Source organism: Homo sapiens, chromosome 21, assembly GCF_000001405.40.
Source record: "Homo sapiens chromosome 21, GRCh38.p14 Primary Assembly".
Taxonomy (NCBI): domain Eukaryota; kingdom Metazoa; phylum Chordata; class Mammalia; order Primates; family Hominidae; genus Homo; species Homo sapiens.
The window spans coordinates 21,484,103-21,509,121 of NC_000021.9; the positions used below are offsets into that span (position 1 = coordinate 21,484,103).

The 25,019-nt window shown below is 30.7% G+C and overlaps 1 protein-coding gene across 12 annotated transcripts in view; it reads left to right on the forward strand.

Annotated features, from left to right (window-relative positions):
• Nucleotides 1-25,019, forward strand: part of NCAM2 (neural cell adhesion molecule 2) — a 544,921-nt gene that overhangs the window by 485,694 nt on the left and 34,208 nt on the right. For 8 of the 12 annotated variants that reach the window (NM_001352592.2, NM_001352591.2, NM_004540.5 and 5 more), the window contains one exon: nucleotides 24,749-24,953. In NM_001352592.2, coding sequence (NP_001339521.1) covers nucleotides 24,749-24,953 — 205 coding nt within the window. Of the gene's footprint in view, nucleotides 1-352; nucleotides 2,184-17,537; nucleotides 20,313-24,748; nucleotides 24,954-25,019 lie in introns of those variants that run through there. The other 4 variants (XM_047440785.1, XM_011529581.4, NM_001352593.2 and 1 more) reach the window with 2 other exon arrangements.

A 25,019-nucleotide genomic window follows, 5' to 3' on the forward strand; every position in this document is an offset into this window, starting at 1 on the left:
TACATTTTCAACTTATAAATGAAAGATATTCACATATAAGGGATCAGTGACAGAATTAATTTCTGAGTAATGCAGAATAAACATCAATATTGACCTTTGTATGTTTTTAATATGTGACAATACATAGAAATGTTTTATACAAGATTTTAGCCATTCTTGTTTTGTATGAAAGTATTTTTTGTAGGTTTGCATTAATTGTTAATGACTTTGTGTAAATCTTGCATTAATTATTCTTTTTTCTTTCCTACTGTCACGTTTTTTCTCTTTTGATTTCCTCGTTTGTAACTCTACCCTTTATTTTCTTAATTATTTCATTCTTATTCTATTTTCAAAAACAATTTTCATCATGCAGATAAATGCTGTGAAGCGAATAAAGGCGAAAATGGAAGCCAGTCGTGGCAGCTGAATGCTGCTGGGTTTTCTTTCATTATAGCCATAAGTTTGTCTTGCGTGTTTTAATGTCATTGTTATATCATATGGTATATCCTCTTATGCCCTGAAAATTAAAAAAAAATAGTAATAGCAAGGCTTATCTAAAATTATAATAAAATATTTCCTAAGGTCCAATTAATTATGCATGTATCTTCACCCATGAATGATTAAGCTTTTTCTCCTTCCCCCAATTATCAACCTTTTAAGTGGATAATTTGTCAGAAAATCAAATGAAGGAAATTCAATCGGGATTGCTACTTTCAGCTACCAGTTCACTGCATAACATACTTTATTCTAAATTTTCCATTAATTCCTAAAGTTGACCTTGTTAAATAGCATGTCACTTGTACTTGAAACTTAAGCCTTTGCTACATCTAATCTTTCATTATTATTTTGCAAATAATTAAATATCCATGGCCATACTTTTTAAAAATCATAATTTTATTATGTAGAATTGTGGATCACTACTATTGTTTTTTTTACTGTTACTTTTAAGTATAAGTTTCCAACTTTATGAACATTTCTAATATTTCAATGTGTTTACCATTTATATAAAACATAAGCATTATATTTTATTAGATGTGTATCCCAATTGTGCTGCTTATTTTCCCTTTGTTGAACCAAAATGTCTTAAGGAATAAATGTGAAACAGTTTCCTATTTTAAATTTGAACACCGATTAATTTTTTTCATTAAGTGAAAATATCTCTGCAATTTTCCCAGAATGAATGTTAAATTAAATTTGTATATGTCTAAAAAGTTACACCCAATTCACTGGATTTAGATTACATTTTGAGCTGACCTCAAGTCCTATTGTTCTAACATAAGTAGTTATTTATTACATTTTTCTGGACATCTGGTAGTCAGAATTCTTGCAAGCATTAGAGAGAGAGAAGAAAATATTATAGACACTCCTTTAAAGAAGTTGAAATCAAGATGGGAAGAAATTGAGATTGGAACTAGATTCCAAATTTCAAAGGAATTTCGATTTGAGGGAGTAGCATGAAGAATGATTTTTGGTCTTTGCAAATTTTCATTATGTGAATATGCAATTTTCACTTAAGTAATCTTTACCTAAGTAATTTCAAAACAAGTAAAGAGTGTTTGTGTTTTTCACTTGCAACCACATCTTAACAAGTGACTTTTACTACTTATTTATTTAGGACAATAGGAAACAACCAGATGTACATATATGCATAAAAGTGACCATAACATACTTGGTAAATCAAATGATTGGGTTCTGGACTCTGTGATTCATTCATCAAAAGCTATCATTTTGTTGAACAGAAATATTTTTCGTGTCTCTTTTTAAAGAGATAGCTACAGAATCTTTTCATATGAGGGCTAGGCCTCTCTTTCATAGTAGATTTTCTTTTAACTTATCTTTTCCAAACTCCTAGCTGTCAACTGCTATCCTTTCTTGTAATCTAGTAATAGACCTGTAGACTGCAGAAGCAACCCATCAACCGATAAAACACACTTCTGGCCGGCTGGGCGCGGTGGCTCACGCCTGTAATCCTAGCACTTTGGGAGGCCGAGGCAGGTGGATCACGAGGTCAGGAGATTGAGACCATCCCGGCTAACACGGTAAAACCCCGTCTCTACTAAAAAATGCAAAAAATTAGCCGGGCGTGGTGGCGGGCGCCTGTAGTCCCAGCTACTCGGGAGGCTGAGGCAGGAGCATGGCGTGAACCCGGGAGGCGGAGCTTGCAGTGAGCCGAGATCGCGCCACTGCACTCCAGCCTGGGCAACAGAGCGAGACTCCGTCTCAAAAAAAAAAAAAAAAAAAAAAAAACTTCTGCTTCCCTCCTTTCTCCCCTGCTGAGATAAAACGATATCTCAACTCACACATTATGGAAATATAATCCATTTATAGGGCAAGTTTTGTTTTTAAATCACCATAACCAATATTCCGTTTATTAAATAACTATCATTGCATATTAAATTTCTCGATATTTGAGACTGAAGAGTTTATATTGGTTACTAATTTGTAGAAGGCGTTGATAAAAAGATTTCTAGTAACACCTCCAGAAACTGTTTTTTACATTCATTGTAACCTTACTTGATCTTTCCAATAAATTAGAGACATTTCTGTGAGAATTTCATGTAGAAATGATCTTGACTTAGGAATGACAAAATATTTTTTTGGAGATCACGGAATACTTATTTAGTAAGTTAGTGCAAAGTTTATTTATCTTGAAGTTTTACATATCATAACTCAAGGTCACTAAGTGATATAAAGAACATTCAAAGTGAGGTATACACAGAAATAAGATACATCAATTTGGCATTTTGAAAAGAACCTAATATTAAAATTATGTTAGCAGAGTTATATACATTTAAAGAGTTGTTTGTTAGATTTTAAGCATCTAAGTGTGGATCTAGTTTTAGTCCTAAACTTTATAAGCAGTCTGTCATTTGGCCAAATGTTTATTCTTACATGAACACCTATTTCACAACTCTGAGATACACATAAATTCTTTTAAAAATATTCTCAGAGATGGTAAAATAATAGGCTTTGTGATCTGCCTTATTTCTCTAAGAAATTAAAAAGTACAAAACTAAACAATAAAGCTATTGCATTCCAATAAATAAAACCTTAGACATTTTACATCCTAGGATTTTTTAAAAGTTTTAATGTGTTGCTGAGTTATCTTTTATATTATCTGAACAATACTGTTGTTATATGCAGCCATAAAAATCAGACAGTTTACTTGTTTATTTTAAAAATGAGTTTGTTACTTTTTTGGCTTTACTATTATTTCATCTGTCTACCCATCTAAGTAAATGTGATTACTGGTAAGCAAGACATAAAAATTTAAACTTATTTTAAGTATCTTCCTAGTACCATCCAATGATTTTTTTTTCATACAATGGAGTTTTACATAAAATTCTGTCTCTGAAGATGTATAAATTTGAGCTTGTGTGTTGAGTGTAAGATTAGTCATTATATATAATCAGAAATATATGTCTATGTCCAATGGTGTGTGTATTGTATCGTTCACTGTTAAAATATTTCAAAAGATTGTTTTGACCGTATTACCAGTTATGAAGCTAGATTGATTTACTTATGCATGATTGCCATTATCTGCATGTGGAATATCAGGATTTTTAAAATATAGATCTGGATATCTCCTTCTTTCTCCTCCCAATCTCTTCTAGTCTGTCTTCTTTCCTCCATTTTACAGTCAACGTTACTGGCCTCTCTACCCCAATCAAAACTATAATTACTCATCAGTTCACAGTAAGACCCACAAGTACCATGTTTCAGATATGCTAACAGAGTAGGCCTAGGAGGTAGCAGTAAATTCTTTCCTATAAAATGTATTCTTACGTGGAAAAACCTTAGGTGAGTTGCTATTTTTGTTCATTTCTTTCCTAATACTATAGGTCATTAGGACGGACTAAGTTTAATTTTATAAACTCTATATTCATATTATTTCCAGAAGCATTTTGCAAATGCACATATATGCCTTCATTCCTGGTATACATGAACAAGATTGAAATTAAAATATGTAAACATTTTAAATATGCCTATCTATAGAAGGGGTTAGATTGATGTTTAATATATATGCAATTTTCACTTACATATAGCAAATACATATAAAGACAAATAATTTTATTGCAAATAAATTTGACTTTTTAAATATTCAAGTTCTTTTTAAATTAACAAAGTTACAAGTATGCATCCTAGTGCACATGTTACACACAATAATATGCAATTTGTGTCAATTGGGAAACCATTATAATTAATTATAATATTTTCTGTGTAAGAATACTCATTCATTATGTTTGAGTTAAATTAAAGCTAAAACAAGAAAAATTCCAAAGTAGTTTCAACCACGTACAATTAAATTTATGATTAGTCATTTATGTTAAATGAAATATATTGTACAAGAAAGAATTAAACCATGAACTTTTGGATCTGGAGGTATTCTTAGATACATAAAAATAATTTTAAATATTAATATGGTATATTTACCCTGATAATGGAGAAATAAAACCTTAAAATTACAAATTATTTTAATAATTCAAGATGGATACTGATATCAATACAATAATACAATATATTTGGGTCTAGCTTTCAAGACTAATAGCCAGTATTATGCATGATAACATTTGAGTTTGTAGTAATTAAGAAATATCCCTAGTCATGTAAAGTTTTCTTTAAAGGTTTAAATTTGATATTAATATGATATAAGCAACATTAAGAGCTTGAAATGATCAATTCTGGTATTAAACTAAATATTATCACATATATTTTTGTCTGGCCTTGTAGTATTATGATTTCACTCACTGAATAAAGATAAACTATAATATTGATCATACCTAAATATGTAACTTTATGTGTTTTATTATGATTAATCTGTGTAAGAGATAATGTAACATCCTTTAAATGATCTTTTAATAAGTCCAATTTAATTATGTTTTCTTTTTCTATTTTAATTTTTATTTATTTATTTTTTTATTTTCTTGAGACAGACTCTTGCTCTGTCGCCCAAGCTGGAGTGCAGTGGCCTGATCTCAGCTCACTGGCACCTCCGCCTCCTGTGTACAAGCAACACTCATGCCTCGGCCTGCCTAGTAGCTGGGTGTGCTACTAGGCGTGCAGCCACCACACCTGGCTAATTTTGTATTTTTAGTAGAGGCAGGGTTTCACCATGTTGGCCAGGCTGGTCTCGAACTCCTGAACCCAATTGATCCTCCTGCTTCAGCCTCCCAACATCCTGGAATTACAGGCGTGAGCCATGGTGCCCAGCCTCATGTTTTCACTTTTTTAAAATTTATTTTCTTTTATCCTTTCTTACTTTCTTCTAATGCTTTATTTTTAATTTTCTCCCTTTTTCTCTATTTCTGTCTCTTCCTCCTTTCTCTTTCTCTCCATTTCTCTCTTTTGTTCTGTCTCTCTCCCTCTTTCTCTCTCTGTCTCTCTTATGCTTCCTTTCTAAATTTTTGGCCATGAATGAATGGAATATATTTCCTCTATTATGTTTCTGTTCATTGTTTGTAAATTTTAAAATACTAACCTTTGTGGTATAGAAATATGTCATAAAAGCTTCAGCAAATCTAATATATTGGATAGATAGCTGAAATCTGCATATTTCAAATAACTGAATATACAGATATTCTACAAATTGTCTTTAAAATGATTACAACTTATGTTGAAATTGGTGACGAGGCATTTCCAAATTAATCTCATAAATAGTATTGTTTAATCATTAATATTTGATAGTTAAACATAATATTCAGAATATATTTCCACAGTAAATTTTGGGACTTAACTAAAGAAAAAAATTAACACTTATTAACTCGTTCTCTTACCAATTACCATATAAATTGGAGTATTATTCTAAAGTTAATATGGTTTGTCTTTTAAATACAAAGTTGTATTATTCCTTCTATATACTTACATAATCCCAATTTTTATCTAAGGAAAACATTCCCTCAGTTTAAATCTAATTTTATTTTTTTCAAAATTAGACAAAGATGAGAGTTTAATATCCATGCTTTGTTTTCCAAAAACCTTTAGTTTTGTTGTCTAAAATTAAGAACTCAACAAAGATCTCTTGTAATAATTCAACATATTCCCTGGCTATTAACTAATTTCCAAGCCTGAACTGTCAGTAAATGTTGCACATAGCCTGGAATAGTCCATAACATCTGTATTAGCTAATATTCTGTAAAACTAAAAAAAAACAATATCCAAGAAATGTAAAAAATAATTATGTTTAAGAATTCTATTAGTGTTTCTGAGATGGTCTTAACTGCATTTCATCTCCTTTGTTGGTAGACTATTATTTCATCTACTTTTTAAGGATACTTTCATCCAAGTAGAATTAAACTTAATTTTAATTGTGAACTAATCTAATATTGGTTGTATTAAATTTAGATATATTGAAAGTTCTAAAACTATGTATGCTTAAGTTAAATTCAATTAGTCTTTATCATTTCATTTTAGTTAGTAAAAATATGTTACACACTGTAAAGAATGCATAATAATGAGACACAACTTCAGTTTAGAAAATATATTTTTATTTTTATTCTATGTATGTACTGAATAGGGGCTACGACATAAATCTAGCTAGTCTTATTTTTTTTCCTAAAAAGCAAGCAATTACAACTACTGTTTTAAATAGTGTACACAATTCATGTACCCCTTTCAAGAATATTTTTCTCTTACATTTTCATTGATGTCATGTATAACGCTTCTGTTTTAAAGTACTTCTGATCATTTAATTGCATTCGTTTTCATCATAGCTTGTTTTCTTGAAAAAAAAGTATGCTATAAGTGTATTGTCCTCAGTATCATCTTATTTAAAACCCTCAACATAATATCCAGCACTGTGTGTAATCCTATGCGTGTGTTTCATAGTATATTAAATGTCATTTTATTTTCTGTACCTCTGTGTCTCCATTGTTGTAATAAAGAAAACTGAGGAAAAGCTTTGTTATACGTGTTTTCTTTATTACTGGTACAGCCTTTTTTGTCCTTGTCGAGTGTTGTCATATCTAACTTGATCAAATTTAATACAAACATTTATTTACTTAGGAGCAGGTAATAAACTTATACTCATTAAGTTACTCAATTTTTGGATAACCCATACATCATCAGCAGATTCATAACAATTGTATATTGTAAAAATAATTTCGTGACAATATCAAATATTGTTACTTCCATTGTAAACTTGTTCTAGTGTCTTCATAAAAACATCGATCTCTAGTGGGAGGCCAAAATAATCATATATTTCAATAAAACACATGAACATAGTTAACAATTTCAGTAATATAAAGATTGTTAACTAGTCTCCATTGCTAGCAAAAGTCCATAAAGGAAATATAAACACGTAAAGTGATTTTTCTCCAGTTCCTTTGGTCATTTCTTTTGTTTTGGGCACCAAATGAATAAAGTTGCAGAAATTGATTAACATTCTGTGCTTATCCACTGCAAAGGTATGAAACACAAATAGTAAGTTGAAATTTTGGAATAATACTATAAGTAATATAAAAATTATTTAATTAGCTTTTATAGTGTAAAAATAATTTTTGACATAGATATAAACAGAAAAGTCATATTTTTCTTTTAGAGCAAAATGTTACATTGCCTGATAAATATGAAATGATGCCAAAATTCAAAAGAGAAAATGTTCATTTTCAGGATTTTGGATTGTTTTGGAGCATATTTAATTTCTCTTATTCCATGACAGTCCAGTCCAAAATGTATATTTTAATATATACATTATTATACACCTTTTGAAACATGCTTGTGTATATTTCAAAATGAAAATTTTAATGCATTTATAAGTCTTATATATTGTAATACTTATACTTCTTTTAAATGATACAATAGTTATAGTAGTTTGAAACATACACCAGAACAGTTATTTCTTTTTATTATTTTTGTTTTTATTTTTCCTGAATCCCCTTGATAATAGGATGATATCAAATGGAGGGTATCTTGGAATTCTTAGGAATTTGTATGATTACTGTTGTAGTAAATATATATTACTTTATTAATTTTTTATTGTTCTACTATTCTGGGCCATTGTGAAGAAACTAAAGAGATTTGAGAAAATCTGAAGCTATTATAACCAAACTCTATTATTTTATTATATCAACAAACTGAGGATCAGAAAAACCAAATAGTCATTGATATAGTCAAGCAACTTTGATTCTCAGTTTTCCTCCTATCTTTGTTGTATTACACTAAATCAAAGTTGGTACAAGTAAATTTCTGACCTATAAGTTATATGGTCATATGTCTTAGGTCTAGTTCCTTTGCTATTTTCTTGATTGGCCTGTGGAGAACAACAACAAAAAATCCCTATGTGTCAGAGGAAAGGCTATGTGTACAACAACCACGGTTTCATCCATTAATCACAGTATTTCTATTAGTCAGCTTTTATCTTTCTCACTCAAACTTTTACATATAGCTGCTTCCCTATGACCAAGGTAAGTAAGCACACATTAAGTTTATGGTTTTAAATGAATATCAAATTAAATTTTCATCACTTTCTTGTTTTTTACACATATTTTGATAACACCTTACTAAATTACTTATTTGCATTGTTGGTAGAGATAGGTAATTTTTAATTAATATATTTTTATTTACTGTCCACTAAAAGTAAGATATTTTCATCTCAATATGCATCCTTTTTATTTTAAGAATTCAAAGTAAATAGTTTCAACACTTACAATTTGCATAGCAGCTATGTGTTTGCTTCTCTACTGATTTCTTATTTAATATTACAAAGAGAAACAAAATGTTAAAAACAAGTATTCAAGATAGAGGACTTTATTTTTTCTGTTTAAATGTGGTTAAATAAAAAATAAATTATCTTCAAATTGGCATTTCTGTTTTAAAGAATCCATGAATAACACACCTAAATTTTACTATTGTTTCTAGAATATAATTTCACAATAGCTGAATGGGATATACTTGTATGTAATGTGAAGTGCAAACTACCCTTGGCTCTTGAAAAACATCCTATTTCTTAGTGCATGTTGGCAGAAAACATTAAAATTTGTATGGAATTTTTATATAATAGCCTGTGACTCACGGTCCTGTCAAATGGCTCAGTCGTGAAAGAAAGTTTAAGTGAACAGGGAAAAATATTTATCTAAAATAGGATGTGGTATGGTTCACTGCTGAATTCTATTACATAAAAACAGGAAGCTAAAACCTTTTAAAGCATCTATATGTGTTACTCCTCACTTAATATGTGGAGTTTTTTTATTTGTTAAAGGACAGAAAAGTAAAAGTTGTTTTTATAGGAGATAATCAATCTAGGCATAGTAGCCCTTTCCATGCAGGTAATAGAGATATCACCATTGCATGTTTTCCCTTTTAAATAGACTTTAGTTTTTCAAATACTTTTAGATTTACACCAAGATTGAATGGAAACTAAAGAGGGCTCCCATATACCATCTACCCCAGTCAGGCACAACCTTCCTGATAATGAATATCTAACACCCAAGTGGTACCTTTGTTACACTTGATGAACCCACAGTGGCACATTGTAATCACCCAAAGTTTACAGTTTACATTACGGTGCATACTTGGTGTTGTACATTTTATGGATTTGGATAAATTAATAATGACCTGTATCCACCATTTTGGTACCATACATAATAAATTCACTGTCCTAAAAATCCTCTGTGTCCTAAAAATCCTCTCTTCCTCCCTCCTTTCTCCACTAGTTCCTGGCAATCACTGACCTTTTTACTATTTCCTAGGTTTGCCGTTTCCAGAATGTCACTTGGTCGCAATTTTACATTATGTAGCCTTTGCAAATTGATTTCTTTCAATTAGCAACATGCATTCAAGGTTTCTACGTGTCTTTTTATAATTTGATAGCTGGTAGCATAAAATGTCTTCAGTCAGATGCATTATATAATAATAGACGTTTATAAACCCTACATGCTTAAAATATGTAGTTTTAATAATGTAGAATTGATGTTTTTGTATAACTCTAAGCAGAAATTGAAATATCTAAGATAGAATGCAGTGAGTATCTAAAACTGAAAACTTTAAACATCTTAATAAATTACCATAGATTCCAAGAAAAATAATAATACGTATCTTCTGTGTATTTGCTCACATTTTTCATTTATTCTGTTACATGTTTAGAAAACGCAGAAGTTTTATAAATAGTTAGGAATTTTATATTGGAGAAAATTAAACAGTTTGGACTTTCGAAAACAAATTATAAAATATGAACTGAAGTATAATCATATAGAGATATGTTTCAATTTTGTAATATAGTCTAGGAAAATAATTTTGTTTGTACAATGAAAATATATTTTTCATTTTCTATATATGGAGCAGCCTTTCAATGTTGACAGAAAAATAAAATTGGTCAGGTGGGGGCTTAAACAAAGAACTAAAAATAAAATTATTCAGTTCTTTTACACTGGCTAATACATATTTGGGTCATATTCATGCAAATCTTTGAAGCTGCCTTTTCTACTAATCAATACAAACACTAGTTGTTTTATAGCAAACAAACTGCATCCATCAAAGTCAACCAGAAATATAACCAAATTTAAACAGTATTTGGAAAAGTTTAGAGTTAGTAAGATAATAGCAAACATCAAAAGAAGAGGTTCAACTGGATAGTTAAAGAACACAAAAGATATTTTATATGTGCCAAAATGATCTCAGTTCCAACATACATAATAATGTGAAATGTCAGTATAGATAAGATAATAGATATTTTGTTGTGCAAAGACTTCAGATATTTTATGATTTTTCATGGTTTACAGTTGTACCACATTTATTAAAAGGATATTTTAAAATATTTATTTTTAAAATTTTTAGTACTTTGTGATATTTATCACAAAAGAGCTGTTATGTATGAATTTGTTTTTAGCCAATTTTTTTCAAAATAAGCACAGCTCAGTTTCTTTCTTTTTCTTATGTTAAAATCAGTTACTTTAAAGGATAACAAGAATTTGACAAGTTCTCATCAACATTTCTATACAAGCATAATAAACTTCTATTTTAGTGGTTCACTTTTTACACAAGATTGTTCTAAAAGGATAGCTAAAACTATAAGAGGGATTGTGTAGATATTTTAAAAAGCAGGGCGGCCATGGGGGGCTACTTAAAATTCCATTCCAAATAAATATATAGAGAATAGTTATACATAAATATAAACGTATATATTATACAATTTCATAGTATTTTATCTTATTTAGTTTCTATTTTTAAAATATACCAATAGACTTTAATTATGTAATTTTAATTCAACAACTAATCATATATAAGGGGCTGAGTCTATTTAATTCTTCACCTTTTCAATCCAAACATTATCCAAGGAGTTCTCATTCTTATATGGTGTGTGGAAATGGGCATGGAATAGGAGAGAAGGAGAGAGGGAAGACTGGACAGACATTTAATAGCCATTACCATAGCCCAGGCCGCCTCTAGCTCTTTCCAAACCATTGTGACGATTCTGCTTCCCTCCAATGACTCCCTACCATCTTTTGGAAAATGATCACAATTTCTAGTTTGTTTTTGGTGCTGTTTGTCAATTTTGATTTGGTTGATCTATTTATTTGTTACTGAATTCACTTGCAAGCTCCATCCTCTTTAACAGCATCCTTCACCACTAAAATTCCAATGCCCACCAATCACCTCTAATATCCATGTATGTTTTCTAATGTCAGAATCACACACAGTTTCATACATCTTTTTTTATTCAAGCCATGTTCAGATTAAAATGGACTCCTTACGTCAAATGGGAACCTGATTCTTATTTTCGAAAACCATCTCAAACATTATTTTCTTTATTATGTTTCCTTGACCATTGGTCACTAATTTATATGCTTCTCCCTCCTATTTGCTAACCTCACATTATTTTTTTTGCCAAGAGGTAAACAATAAATTACACTGCATATTAATTTCTAAATGATGTATCTTACTCTTCCCAATACATTACCCAGTGTATGTGTGTGTGTATATATATATGAAATATATATATAATATATAAAATATATATATGAAAACATGCCCTTTAACAAAGTACAGCACAATGATGAACATATGAGTGCACGTGTCTTTTGGGTGGAATGATTTATATCTTTCAGGTAGATACCTGGTAATTGGATTACTGGGTCAAATGGTAGTTCTGTTTTAAGTTATTTGGGAAATCTCCAGACTGCTTTCCTCAGTGGCTGGACTAAGTTGCATTCCCATCAACAATGTATAAGCATTTTCTTTTCTCTACGGCCTCACCGGCATCTGTTGTTTTTTGACTTTTTAAAATGATTATTCTCATTGGTGCGAGATACTATCTCATTGTGGTTTTGATTTACATTTTTGATGATTAATGATGCTAAGCATTTTTTCATATGTTTAATAGCCACTTGTATATCTTCTTTTTGAGAAGCGTCTGTCCATGTCCTTTGCGTATTCTTTAATGAGATTATTCATTTATTGCTGGTTGATTTAAGTTCCCCATAGATTCTGGATAATAGACCTTTGTAGGATGCGTTGTTCGTGAATATTTTCCCCCGTTCTGTAGATTTTCTCTTTGCCCTGTTGATCATTTATTTTGCTATACAGAAGCTCTTTAGTTGAATTAGGTCCCACTTGTCTATTTTTTGTTTTGTTGCTATTTCATTTGGAGATTTAGCCAAAAATCCCTTGCCAAGGCCAATGTCAAGAAGAATATTTCTTAGGTTGTCGTCCAGGATTTTTATAGTCTGAGGCCTTATATTTAAGTTTTTAATCCATCCCGAGTTAAGTTTTGTATATGGTGAAAGGTAGGGATCCAGATAAAATCTTCTGCATTGGGCTAGCCAGTTATCCCAGCATCATATACTGAATAGAGAGTTATTTCCCCCTTACCTTGTTGTAGGTGAGGTGGTTGTAGGTGTGTGGCATTACTTTGGGTTTTCTGTTCTGTCTAAGAGCATTCAAGCCAGGTGCCTATCAGTGGTAGATTGTATAAAGAAAATGTGGCACATCTGCACCATCCAATTCTACACAGCCATAAAAAAAATGACATCATGTCCTTTGCAGCAACATAGATAGAGCGGGAGGCCATAGTCCTAAGCAAATTAACTCAGCAACAGAAAACAAAATATCACATGTTCTCACTTATAACTGGGAGCTAAGTATTGAGCACACATGGACATAAATATGGGGACAACAGACACTGTGGACTACTAGAGGATGGGGTGTGGGTTAAAAAACTACCAATCAATCAAGCTGTGTGCTCGCTATCAGGGTGATATGACTTCCAAACCTCAGCATCATGCATTTCCGCATGTAAGAAATCTGCACATATACCCCCTACATCAAAAATAAAAGTTGAAATTCTAAAAGGTATACAGTTTTACAATTATAAATGCCATTCCTATAATCTACTTGTTTATAGTTCCCCCATTTTTAACCAAATATTCTCAATTAGCTACTTTTTCTTGCCCTGAATCAGATATTAAGAAAAAGCAAATAAAAGGATATGGTTATCGGTGCTACCTTTTTACTGTTCCGAATCCCTGATAAGCTTCCTAGGATTTTGAAGTGATTTGAAGGAAAATTTTGGATTGCCACTGAGTTTATTTACAAAACAATTATTTATACGTGTAACAACATTTTGACAAAACATTTAAAATCATTAGAGAATGGAGACTCAGTACTGAAGAATAAGTGTTGGGAAATACATACATCTACCCCCTAAAGAATAAGCATTCTGGGAAAAGAAATTCGGTAGTAAGTAATAAAATGTCTACATCAAGACTGTTCAGCAAAGTACACATAAAATGGTACATTAAAACGACCTTATTGAAAGTTACCAAAAATAGCCTGAGGATGTAAAACATATATAAATAAGCATTAGCCTTTTTTTATTTATTTAAGTAATGTTGAAAATTGTTGATGAATTTTACTCAGAATTTTTAAAACCTAAAGTTTTCAAATTCCCCAAATAATATGTGGATGCTGTAAATAGTATTGTAAGGGACTAAAAGAGCTGGAAATTATGTAAAATGATTTTACACAATCTACATCAGTGTATTAATGTCCAGTATAAACTTTTATAATTTATTTATAGATCTAAAAAGAGTTCCAATGAACTCATTATATACGTATGTGAAAATAGAGCAAATAACTTGTGTGTGATTCTAAAAATTAAAAATCCCTCCAACTGGCCACACACAATCCATAAGCTGGTGTAATTTCATCAAATTAAGTGCTGTATTCCTGATTATAATTTAATTTTGATTTTTAATGTTTTTAAGCATTATTATTTTTAATATTCCAAAACTCATTTCATAGAATTTATCTCTTAAAAAGACACTCTTTGCAGTTTTCTCTTCATAGATAACAATGCTTTTTTCACAGCCATCACAGACATTACTAGCATTACATACTTTTTCTTTTCAAATTATTCATTGAAAATTACAGGAGATTACATGTTGTACCCATACAGCTCTCATTCAATTATTTCTGTAACACATGTTGTACCCATACAGCTCTCATTCAATTATTTCTGTAAGCAGTTTTATATATGATGACTGCGAACTTGAGTGAACTTAAAAAAGTTGCCAATAAGTGCATTTTGTCAGGGAGCTGAAAGATGTAATGCCTTTTTATAATCTCATAAATACTCTGAGCTGTCCAGAGGGAGCCGAGACATACCAGAGTAAAAGATTAGAACACAAAAGAAGTACAGTATTTATTTTGGGGAGGTGATTTTGATTCACTTTGTAACAATCTTTTAAAAGTTATAATTTTATGTTTTATTACAATGAAGATGAATTGATCTAAAATATTGGACAAAATAATAATACAATAAATATGTTAATGATCACAAAAACGTAATAATGTACTAGGGGGCAAAATGAATTATAGAAGAAGAGAATGCCTCCCAAAATCCAGTATCTCCTTATCTCAAAACTGAGCAAAAGCCAAAGTCATATATGAGTGACAGTAAGAGCATTAGTAAATTATATGGACTTCCTCCATCTTCACATGAGTTTTAAAAAGATGAAGAAAAATTTTATAGTGTCAATTAGGAATATAGCAATGACCAAAACCAAAATTTACTAGCTAAGAAGTGAAGAAATAAAAAAGGAATAATATTAAAATTTTTAAAAACTTGTTGATTCTGGCCACAGTAAAATGCGTAGCTAAAAGTAGAAGAATGGAAATGATCTGAAGCCTTAAGCCTTAATGAAGATAACATATTAAACAAATAACATAATGTTTTGTTTATTTGTTTGTTTGAGACAGAGTCTCGCTCCAGGCTGGAGTGCAGTGGCGTGATCTCGGCTCACTGCAACCTCCAGCTCCCAGGTTCAAGCGATTCTCCTGCCTCAGCCTCCCAAGTAGCTGGGACTACAGGCGCGTGCCACCACGCCCAGTTAATTTTTTGTACTTATAGTAGAGACAGGGTTTCACTGTGTTAGCCAGGATGGTCTCGACCTCCTGACCTCATGATCTGCCCTCCTCAGCCTCCCAAAGTGCTGGGATTACAGGTGTGAGCTACTGTGCCTGGCCAATAACAATAAATTTTAAAACAAAATGTTTGTACTTGCTAAAATCTAGGAAGGTTTTGTATAAAAGTGGAGAAGTTCTAGTTTAAAAAAAAATACTGCTATAAGCAACAAGTAACAAGAAGCTACTCTAAACTGAATGTTTTTAAAATAATAGATTTAACAAATGAAATAATAACATATGTATATAATGACTTGGAATTCCCAAAGTACTTTCTTGCTTGAGCCTAAAAGAGCATTTTCATTAAGATAACTAGATATGTATATCACCATTTTACCAACAATGAAACTGGGAATGAAACAACAATATTATTTAGATATTTCCAATTGTATTATATGGACCACAAAATGGGTGAAAAATATAATTCACTCTGAAGATATAAAATGTTAGAATTTCCAAGTGCATTTATATCAACTCATCTTTTTATTTTTCTGTTTTATAATGTGCATTACATATTTCAATATATATTATAAAATACTACCTGTTTATAATTTAAAATAAAAACACCCATCTTGGAAGTGGATACTCAGCTCTTCTCTAGATATATACAGGAAACAATTTTAAAAGTTTTCTAGAAGGAAGGAAGAATATAAAATTCAATCATGGTTGCTGTTGAGTGTGCTGTTTATTTTTTTAAATTTTGAATGAATGTCAAATGATATTTTTAATCATCCTTGCTAATGAAATTTGCCATGATTTTTCTCTTTTTTCTCTAATTGATACAATTAAAGGAGTATTGACTAAACATTGGAAACCTCAAAAGTACAAACACTTCTTTCAAATAAGGAGTTTTAATGTGAATTAAAATTGAATAAATCTATCCATTTAGGGATGCACTACAGGTAGCAAAAATGCAAGAGGCCCCACCTGGTGTGATGCAGAAGAAAAACCTGTTCAGAGAAATGGAAATAGTGTTACATTGTGCTCGGATTGCTAGTATCAGTGGTTCCATATAAAATTCAGTGAATTTTATAACTTGCGTAAATCAAAATTTTCATTTTCCTTTTTTTCTACCTGTAATTACAACACATGCAAATGCGATCTGAAAGTCATGTTCTTTCAAATATATAAAGATAAATATTTTGGAATAATTTTTTTCTTACCACCCACAAATATATAAAGAAAACATTTATACATATATTTCTAATTATCTATGTAGTTTAACTGAGAGAAGTCTATCAAAGTCCAAACATGAATCTTAACTCATTTAAACTATTTGGTAAGTAAGTTTGTGATTAACATGTAAGGTCTTCCCTGTAGAAGATAGGAAGTTTTGTTAATATAAGACATCTCTCTTCACAACTCCATAATGTTGAAGAGTACTATTTTATTTCGTGACAAGTGGCTTCTGTTAAGAAATGTAAAGGATGCTGTTTGGTTTTATACTGGAAGAACATTATGAATACAGTTTATTCTCAATATCCCCACCATTTTTAAAGCCGTGAGCATTTAATTTTAAAAAAATTATTTTTGAACACTATTTTGCTCACCTAGTCTAGTATCTGCTTTGATTGATTCTTTCTACATTCTGCTACACATTGACTCTTTGAACTACATTTTACTCTTTGTATATTCAAGGGAATTCTATGGAAAATGCCACAAAACAAACATTTAATTCATCAATTTAATATAATATCCAGGTTTATAAGGAATAGGTAATCTTGGTAGACTGCTTGCCTAACATAACACAACAAGAAGCGTTGTATAAATCTCAGAAATGTTAATTGGTTTTTAAATTAGTGCAATGCATTTTTCTTTAAAACTATGTATTATCTCAGAATGTGTCTTCCATAACGCAAAATTTTGCCATAATGTTAACTATTACCAGTATGCCCTTGTTAATGTAAATATCATATCCATTAGCTCCTTTGTCGTGTCTTTTGTAATTCAATGGATGAAATTATATAAGGGAATTTATAATGCTCCCTAAGTAAATATGGACTTGAAGTATAATATTTCTAAAGAGTTATGTTAATTTTATTAATTCTATTTTAGTACATTTTAGGCAACCCTTCTGGTTCTGCACTATTTTATTAGACAGTCAATCAATGTTTATGAAGCATACATGGATTAATGTTCCTTTTTTTTTTTTTGCTATGTAGCTGCAGAAGTCTTTAGACTATCCAGATGTTTGACTTCTTAAGTAGCTGTCAATTCTGACCTAGATGGAGCCCTGCTGCAGAAAGATGCCTACTCCACCTTTCTCCACACCAGAAATGCAATCAAAACAAGACTAATTGACTGTGTTCTTGTAATTTTTGAGAAATTGCCCTTTAAGTTTCAGTATACCAAATTCAAATATTAAAAATTACAATCATAGTTTTACTTCAGTAATTTACAAAGCCATTCAAATCCAAATCAGCAATATTTTAAGAAGTATCCCTGTGAAGTCCAACACTGATAATACATTTCCCAGAAATTGGTAAATAAGAGTAATTAGATACCTTCCAAATTTTTAAAAAGTCTCTATCCCCTGGAGGAAACATTTCTACTGACTAAAGTATTTTGCGAGAAAAATTTTGCCTAGTTGTTTTGCTTGACTATATTAAGTAAATTTAATGTTTTCAACATTTTGACACTTTATATTAAGTATTTCTCAAACCATTTTGAATAGAAGTTAGTGAAACTTTAGACTATACTCATGCCTCTCAAAGAAGATACTTTTGGGGTATGTTTTACAATGGATAATTTCTAAAAATATTTTTTGAAACTCTAAAGAACAGTTATTAATTCTCTCAATTTTCTATCCATGTATCAAATTTATTTAATTGTAGGATTAACTCTGCACTATTTAAATGATTCAAATTTGAGGTAATTTTGAAGAGTATGTTTTAAAATATTCTTAACTTAATTTCACTTCATAAGATTCCACAAAAGTATTGTTGAATTCATGTCTATTGACCTTAATCTACAAAGCAAACTAAAACATCCCCCATGATTAGATATCACCAGGTAGAATTTCAAGTTGCAGGGGATTTTTTAATCTTCTTTAGTTTTTCCTCATATACATGTATGTATTTGCTATAGACTTAGGCCAAAATTTTCCAAATATCATTTGATGTTAGGGAGTATATTGTACTACGAAGGACGAAGTAAGAACATATAATTAAGAGTCATGTAGACTTATCACCAATGTGGAAAGATACCGTACGTAGTAATATCATCAACACCAATCAGAGTTATTTAATGTCTTCTCTTTTCATATGCTTAACCTACTTGCCTGCTGCATCCAACAATATCTCTTATGAAAATAGCTACCAGTATTCTGGAAACAGCAACCAATCACCATCTTAGGACTCTGACTTTTTTCTCCATGTCTTTATTGCAGCTTTCCACGTCCTGAAATTAATTTTCAGTCTACCTGGAGAAGATGATACATGCACATAGAAAAAAGTTAAATAAAACATTGAACTATATAAGGAGTCAAAAAGCATGGCTAGTTTTATGAATCTAATAGTGCAGTGGTTTTTGAAAAGCTAGTATTATCAAATATAATACATTTCATGGACAAATATTTTAATATTGCAGTTGGGATTTAATTTATACAACAGAAACATGAAAAGACGCATACAATAGTCCCTGCTTTAGCCAGAGATACATTCCAAAACTCTCAGTGGATGCCTGAAACCTTTGATCGTACTTAACCCTACATATACAGATTTTCCTCTACGTACATACCTATGATAAACTTTAATTTACAAGTTAGGCACAGTAAGTTAACAATAATATCTGTTATTAAAATAGAACAATTACAACAATTTTCCAGCATCGCTAATCTTGTGTATAAGGGCCATTATTAAGTAAAATAAGGGTTATTGAACATGAACGCTTTGAGACTGACAATAGAGGGCTGAAACAGCTCCTAAGTAACTAAGAGGTGGGTAGTGTAGATAACATAGACATGCTGGATAAAGGGATGATTTGTGTCCCTGTCACAACAGAGAGGAATAGCAAGATATTTCATCGCACTACTCAGAATGGCCTCAAATTCAAAATTTATGAATTGTATACTTAAATTTTCCATTTGATATTTTTGGACCACAGTTGACTATAGATAACCGAAACTGCAGAATGCAAAACTGGATGAGGAGGGACTACTGTATATAAGACATTTGAATGAAGCTTGGATTCTCATACTTTAATACTTTGATTTTATGTTTGGCTGAAAATTTGAATGCAATTACAAGAAGATATGGGGAAACAGATTTAGAAAGTCAATTTCCAAATTTCATGGGGTTAGAGAAAATGCAGCTCAGAGGGAAACTGATTCTCACAGTTGCTTTTAATAGTAAAATATAAACCAAATATATTTTTAACTTTTTATATTCTAAATTATTTATTCTTATTCAATTATGAAGCCCATTTTTCATAACAGCAATACAAAATGATCATTAAAGAGGAAGCTTAAAGCAGAAATATAAGTTAGATAAATAATTTACATTGATGTTTTTCATTTAAATAGTTGTTAAATAGTTGTACCTCCAAATAATATTAAAGGTATATGGATATTGACATTTTTCTATAAGAATAATACATATTTTAATGTATTTGCTGTATTGCTGTACTGTATTTTATCCATATCTTTTCATTACTCGTTGGTGAATATCCAAGATAAAATGTTGACTCTAACACAAGTATAAAAAGTATACAACCTGGAGTTAATTAGTGATTCACGTGTACAGTTCTCATTTTAGGGGTTAGTATGTGACTTAGGCCAATGACCTCTCTGGATCTCAGTTTTCTTTTATGTAAATTAGAACTGATAATATTGTTTTCCTACCTTATAAAGTTACCATAAAATTTACACCATAAGTCGTAAGTGTAAGTATTCTGATGATCTTAAAAAATAAAAAATGGATTTACAATTATTTAAATTATTACTTATGCTCAGGTTTGATTTCCTAAGTAATAAACCATGATTAACTAATAAAAATGAATGTTCTGGATGTTATTGTGAAAATACATCATTAGTAGTGCCCGAATCTTAATGATGTCATTTCATATGTGCTTATGGTTTTATTTGTGAAACGTCCAGAGTACAAATAGTGGACTTTTTATGCCAGAGTAAATTGGTGAGAGAAAATAATTAAAATACTTAACTTTTATAGTTGTAACAGCCTAACCTCATGAGATATGAGAAAGTATAAGCATTTAAATACATCCTCAAGGTGACATTTAATATATATATAATATGTATATACATACATAGAACATAACTTTCAAAAGACAAAACTTATAAACTTATTATTTTTCAATTTTAATTTTTTTTCAGAGAATAGTACATTTGTATATTTGTGGGGTACATGACAACTTTTGATACAGGCATACAATGTGTAATAATCAAATTAGGGAAAATGGTGTATCCATCACCTCAAGCATTTATCTTTCGTGTTACAAATAATCCAATTATACTTTTAGTTATTTTTAAATGTATAATTATTATTGACTATAGTCATCCTGTTGTGCTATTAAATACCTGATCTTATTCTATTTTTAACACAAACCTATTTGAAGTTCACTTCTATCCTCTGCAATGACAAAAAGATACTTATTTTTTCATAAAAATAACTTCAAGCAACCTACGATTGTAATAAGTTTATAAAGTTAATTTTCTATATATAGAAAAAAGTACTAGCTATTAGTATTTTAGCAATTCTTCACCATAATAAAATAGGGCTCCTATATGGTTAAAAAAGAGTAGGATCTTAATCTGATGGGATCAATGGCCTTAAAAGAAAAGGAAAAGAGAGTTCTCTCTGAGTCTCTATCCCACAAGTGATCACACAGTGAGAAGGAAGCTGTCTGCAAAGCCAGGAAAAGAGCCCTCACCAGAATCCAATCATGCTGGTACCTTGACCTCAAACTCTAAACCACCATAACTGTTAAGAAATAAATTTCTTTTGTTTAAGCCAAAAAATGAAGATGTTTTACATATATAATTTTTCTGAAAGCTTTTCTAAAGATAAAAATGAAGCATATAATTATACTAGTTTAATGCTAAAAAGGTCACAGGATGAAATACTTGTCATTTAAAAGCTAACTAGCCAAACCTGAATTATTAAAAAAAAACTTACTTTAGCCTCAAGAGAATAATCATTACTTAATAAGAGATAGTCTTCCACTTTAGATTACTGCTGAAAAGATGTGCTTACAGAATAGTTTAATGTTTAACATTAGATAATTTTTAGTTGAAATATCATTTTTATAATACTAAATATCAATTTTATAATATTAAAATAATTATAAGCAGTACTTGCTAGATTTTTACTTTGTACTGGGCAATAAGTGCTGGAGGTTAAGTACATTACCACATTCACACAATCTTCTCAACAAACTTGTGACCTATTTTTGGTTGTTATTTTTATTATTACTGTCTCCATTTTAATAAAGAGGCACTTCAGTCTGAGAGATACTAGATGGCTTACCCCAAAAGCTAATGATGGTAAGTGATGAAACCAGGCGTTTCTTACTCCTGATGCAGTGTTTTTAAGAACAAAGCAAGAATCTTCATACTTAGGAAAGGTAAATGGGAATGTGTATAATAAATCAGATATATTGTCATTGATCTATAGGATTTATTGCCTAGAACTATCTGCATGTGAGAAGACCCTAAACGAAGTAGCAGAAGAGTGATCCATTCAAACCAATAGGATCATCATGTGAATGTATACACCAGGGCTAAACCACAATTGTATATTTTTTTCCAATTTTTTTTCCTGAGCTTTAGTTGTTGAGTAATGTGCAACATATCTAAAATGAATACATTTGAAATTGAAGAAAATATTGTATTTTCATATAATCAAACATGTTTCATAGGTAAGTTGATTTCACTGTATTGTAATGATAGATTCAGAAGTGAGTCATTTATATTTGGAAATGGATAATGGAAGAAAATATATACCATGATTTTTTTTAACTGCAAACAGAAATCCTAGCTTGCTTGATATATTATTTTTGTAGCATGAGGCAATAGTTCTTTTTTAATTCATGCATAGAGATATACCTTTGAAAAACTGATAACTAATCTTTGGAATCTCATTCTACACTTGTTTATTGAGATTTTGCAAACTAAAAAAAAATATTAAATCCCCATGGCTGAGAAAATACTATTCTTTCTCTAGTTATTCCTCAAGTGGTTTCATGTGCAAAGATAATAGTTCTGTCGAAACCAGAAAATTCCCGGATACTAGCTAAGCAATTTTACTAAACTATCACCATCTAAGTAGCATGTTAAAATTTGGTATAGGAAGGTATTGAAATTGACATTAATACATTATTTTTTTTCACTACCTTGTGTTTATCACTAGTTTTTCTTCATGAAAAACAAAATAATTTCAATAAAAATTATACTTGCTTGGACATGAGCATTCTAAATTTGTTAATTCAGTGACTAAGTAATTCTCATTTGCCGTATCATGATGACATTGTAGAAGTATATTTGCAAGTGTGAACCACAAAGTTGCTGGGATGAAGTGCCAGGCAAAATCACAAATTGAATGATTTTTTTTTTCAAAACTGAGCTGTTTGCTTTTAGAATTATAAGAAATAAAAATAACTTAAACCTATTTTTTGAAAAAAAAAATAAAATAATGTAGACATGACACTCAGTCATCCTACAGAACTAGTATTCAGACAAGTCTGACATACTCAAAGTCGACCTGCTAGTGCTTGCTTTTGTATGTTAGCAGTTGTTCTGATTCCTTTGGATCACTATTTCCTTTGGATCACTATTTCTTCAAGTCATTATTAAAATATTAAACCTAAGTTTAAAAATATCACATAGGAAAACTTTTTATACATATATAAAACAAATACAGGTTTTATATACATATTTTTTCAGGAGTGGTTTTCTCACAGTTCAAATTTACATCTATACCCGTATCTGTCACTTGTGTTTCACATCAGTTACATATTTGAACATGCAGTTATTATGCTGAGTAATAAATGCATTTTGTCATTAAAAAGACTAAACTGGGCTAGGCACGGTGGCTCATGCCTGTAATCCCAGCACTTTGGGAGGCCAAGGCGGGCGGATCACGAGGTCAGGAGATCGAGACCATCCTGGCTAACACGGTGAAACCCCGTTTCTACTAAAAACACAAAAAAATTACCCAGGTGCAGTGGCGCCTGTAGTCTCAGCTACTCGGGAGGCTGAGGCATGAGAATTGCTTGAACCCGGGAGGTGGAGGTTACAGTGAGCCGAGATCGCCCCACTGCACTCCAGCCTGGTGACAGAGCAAGACTCCATCTCAAAAAAAAAAAAAAAAAAAGACTAAACTGTTATGCAAGCTAATTCTTAACATGTGTTAAGAATCATTTTGAATGCCTATCAAATTATATTTCTTCCTTATTCTTCTAGATAATACATTATCACCAGTTTATTTCTTTTCATTGTTATTATTTTCTGATCCATATTGTTATAGCTGCGGAGTCTACCCTCAGATTCTACTACAAACACGTAACACGTGATTCATCTTCATTACTACTTGCTCCACTTGCCATTTCAATTTTATCAATCAGAATACTTCATCTTCTTCCTATTCACCTCTTTCATGGTTACTTTCTTTATGTCTTTTGGGATTTCCTGCAACCATATGCCAAAGAAAAGTGGCTTCCACCTTCTCCTACCTTCTCATGGTAGAAACTAACAAAAGGTCATAAATACCATAGCTATAAAATGTTGCCTTTAATCTAATATATTTGTTAAAATATTAACTGGAGAAATACAGGTGATCCATTTCTTGCCAAATGATGATTCCTAAAATATTCATAAAAAGGTATATTTAAATACATTCTCTGTTAAAATAACGCGCTCAGAACCATCCATTTTCAAGTTTAAGTTTTAAAACTAACATAATCTCATATAGAAGATTTATTTAACACTTTTCACAGAAGTTTTGATTATAATTTTCTTTTAACATTATGATCTATTAATGGGTGTCATTTTCTGATAAAGTACATTTAGGGATATGATAATATTCATTATCTTCCCCACAGGGATTCAAGAGGTATATTTAAAAGAAGAGGTACTTAGACACTTTTTCTTTGTTAATAAAAAAAAAAGAAGTTTGAAAAAGATAGTCACATAATTAACAAATCAATTGCTTAAAATATTGTTTGAAACCAGGGAATAGGCGTCAACAATCATGAAATTGAATTCTGCCGGTTACTATGACTTTATTCTGTCTCTTAAATTGAATTATTGGAAAAGATTTATTTTTAAAATAATCATCTAATATTTTCTAATTTAGAGGTTTAATACTTTTTTTCCTTTTTTTTTTTTTTTTTTTTTTTTTTTTTTTTACTTTTTAAGACACGCTGTTTAATGGTCTTGGGCTTGGAGCAGTAATTGGCCTGGGAGTTGCTGCACTGCTGCTAATTCTTGTGGTAACAGACGTCAGCTGCTTCTTTATTCGGCAATGTGGGTTGCTGATGTGCATCACTAGGAGAATGTGTGGAAAGAAAAGTGGCTCCAGTGGCAAAAGTAAAGAACTCGAAGAAGGAAAAGCTGCATACCTGTGAGTATCAGGCATCTACATCATGTCATATTAAACAAGCGCCACAGTCAAGCTCGAGTGCTTTAC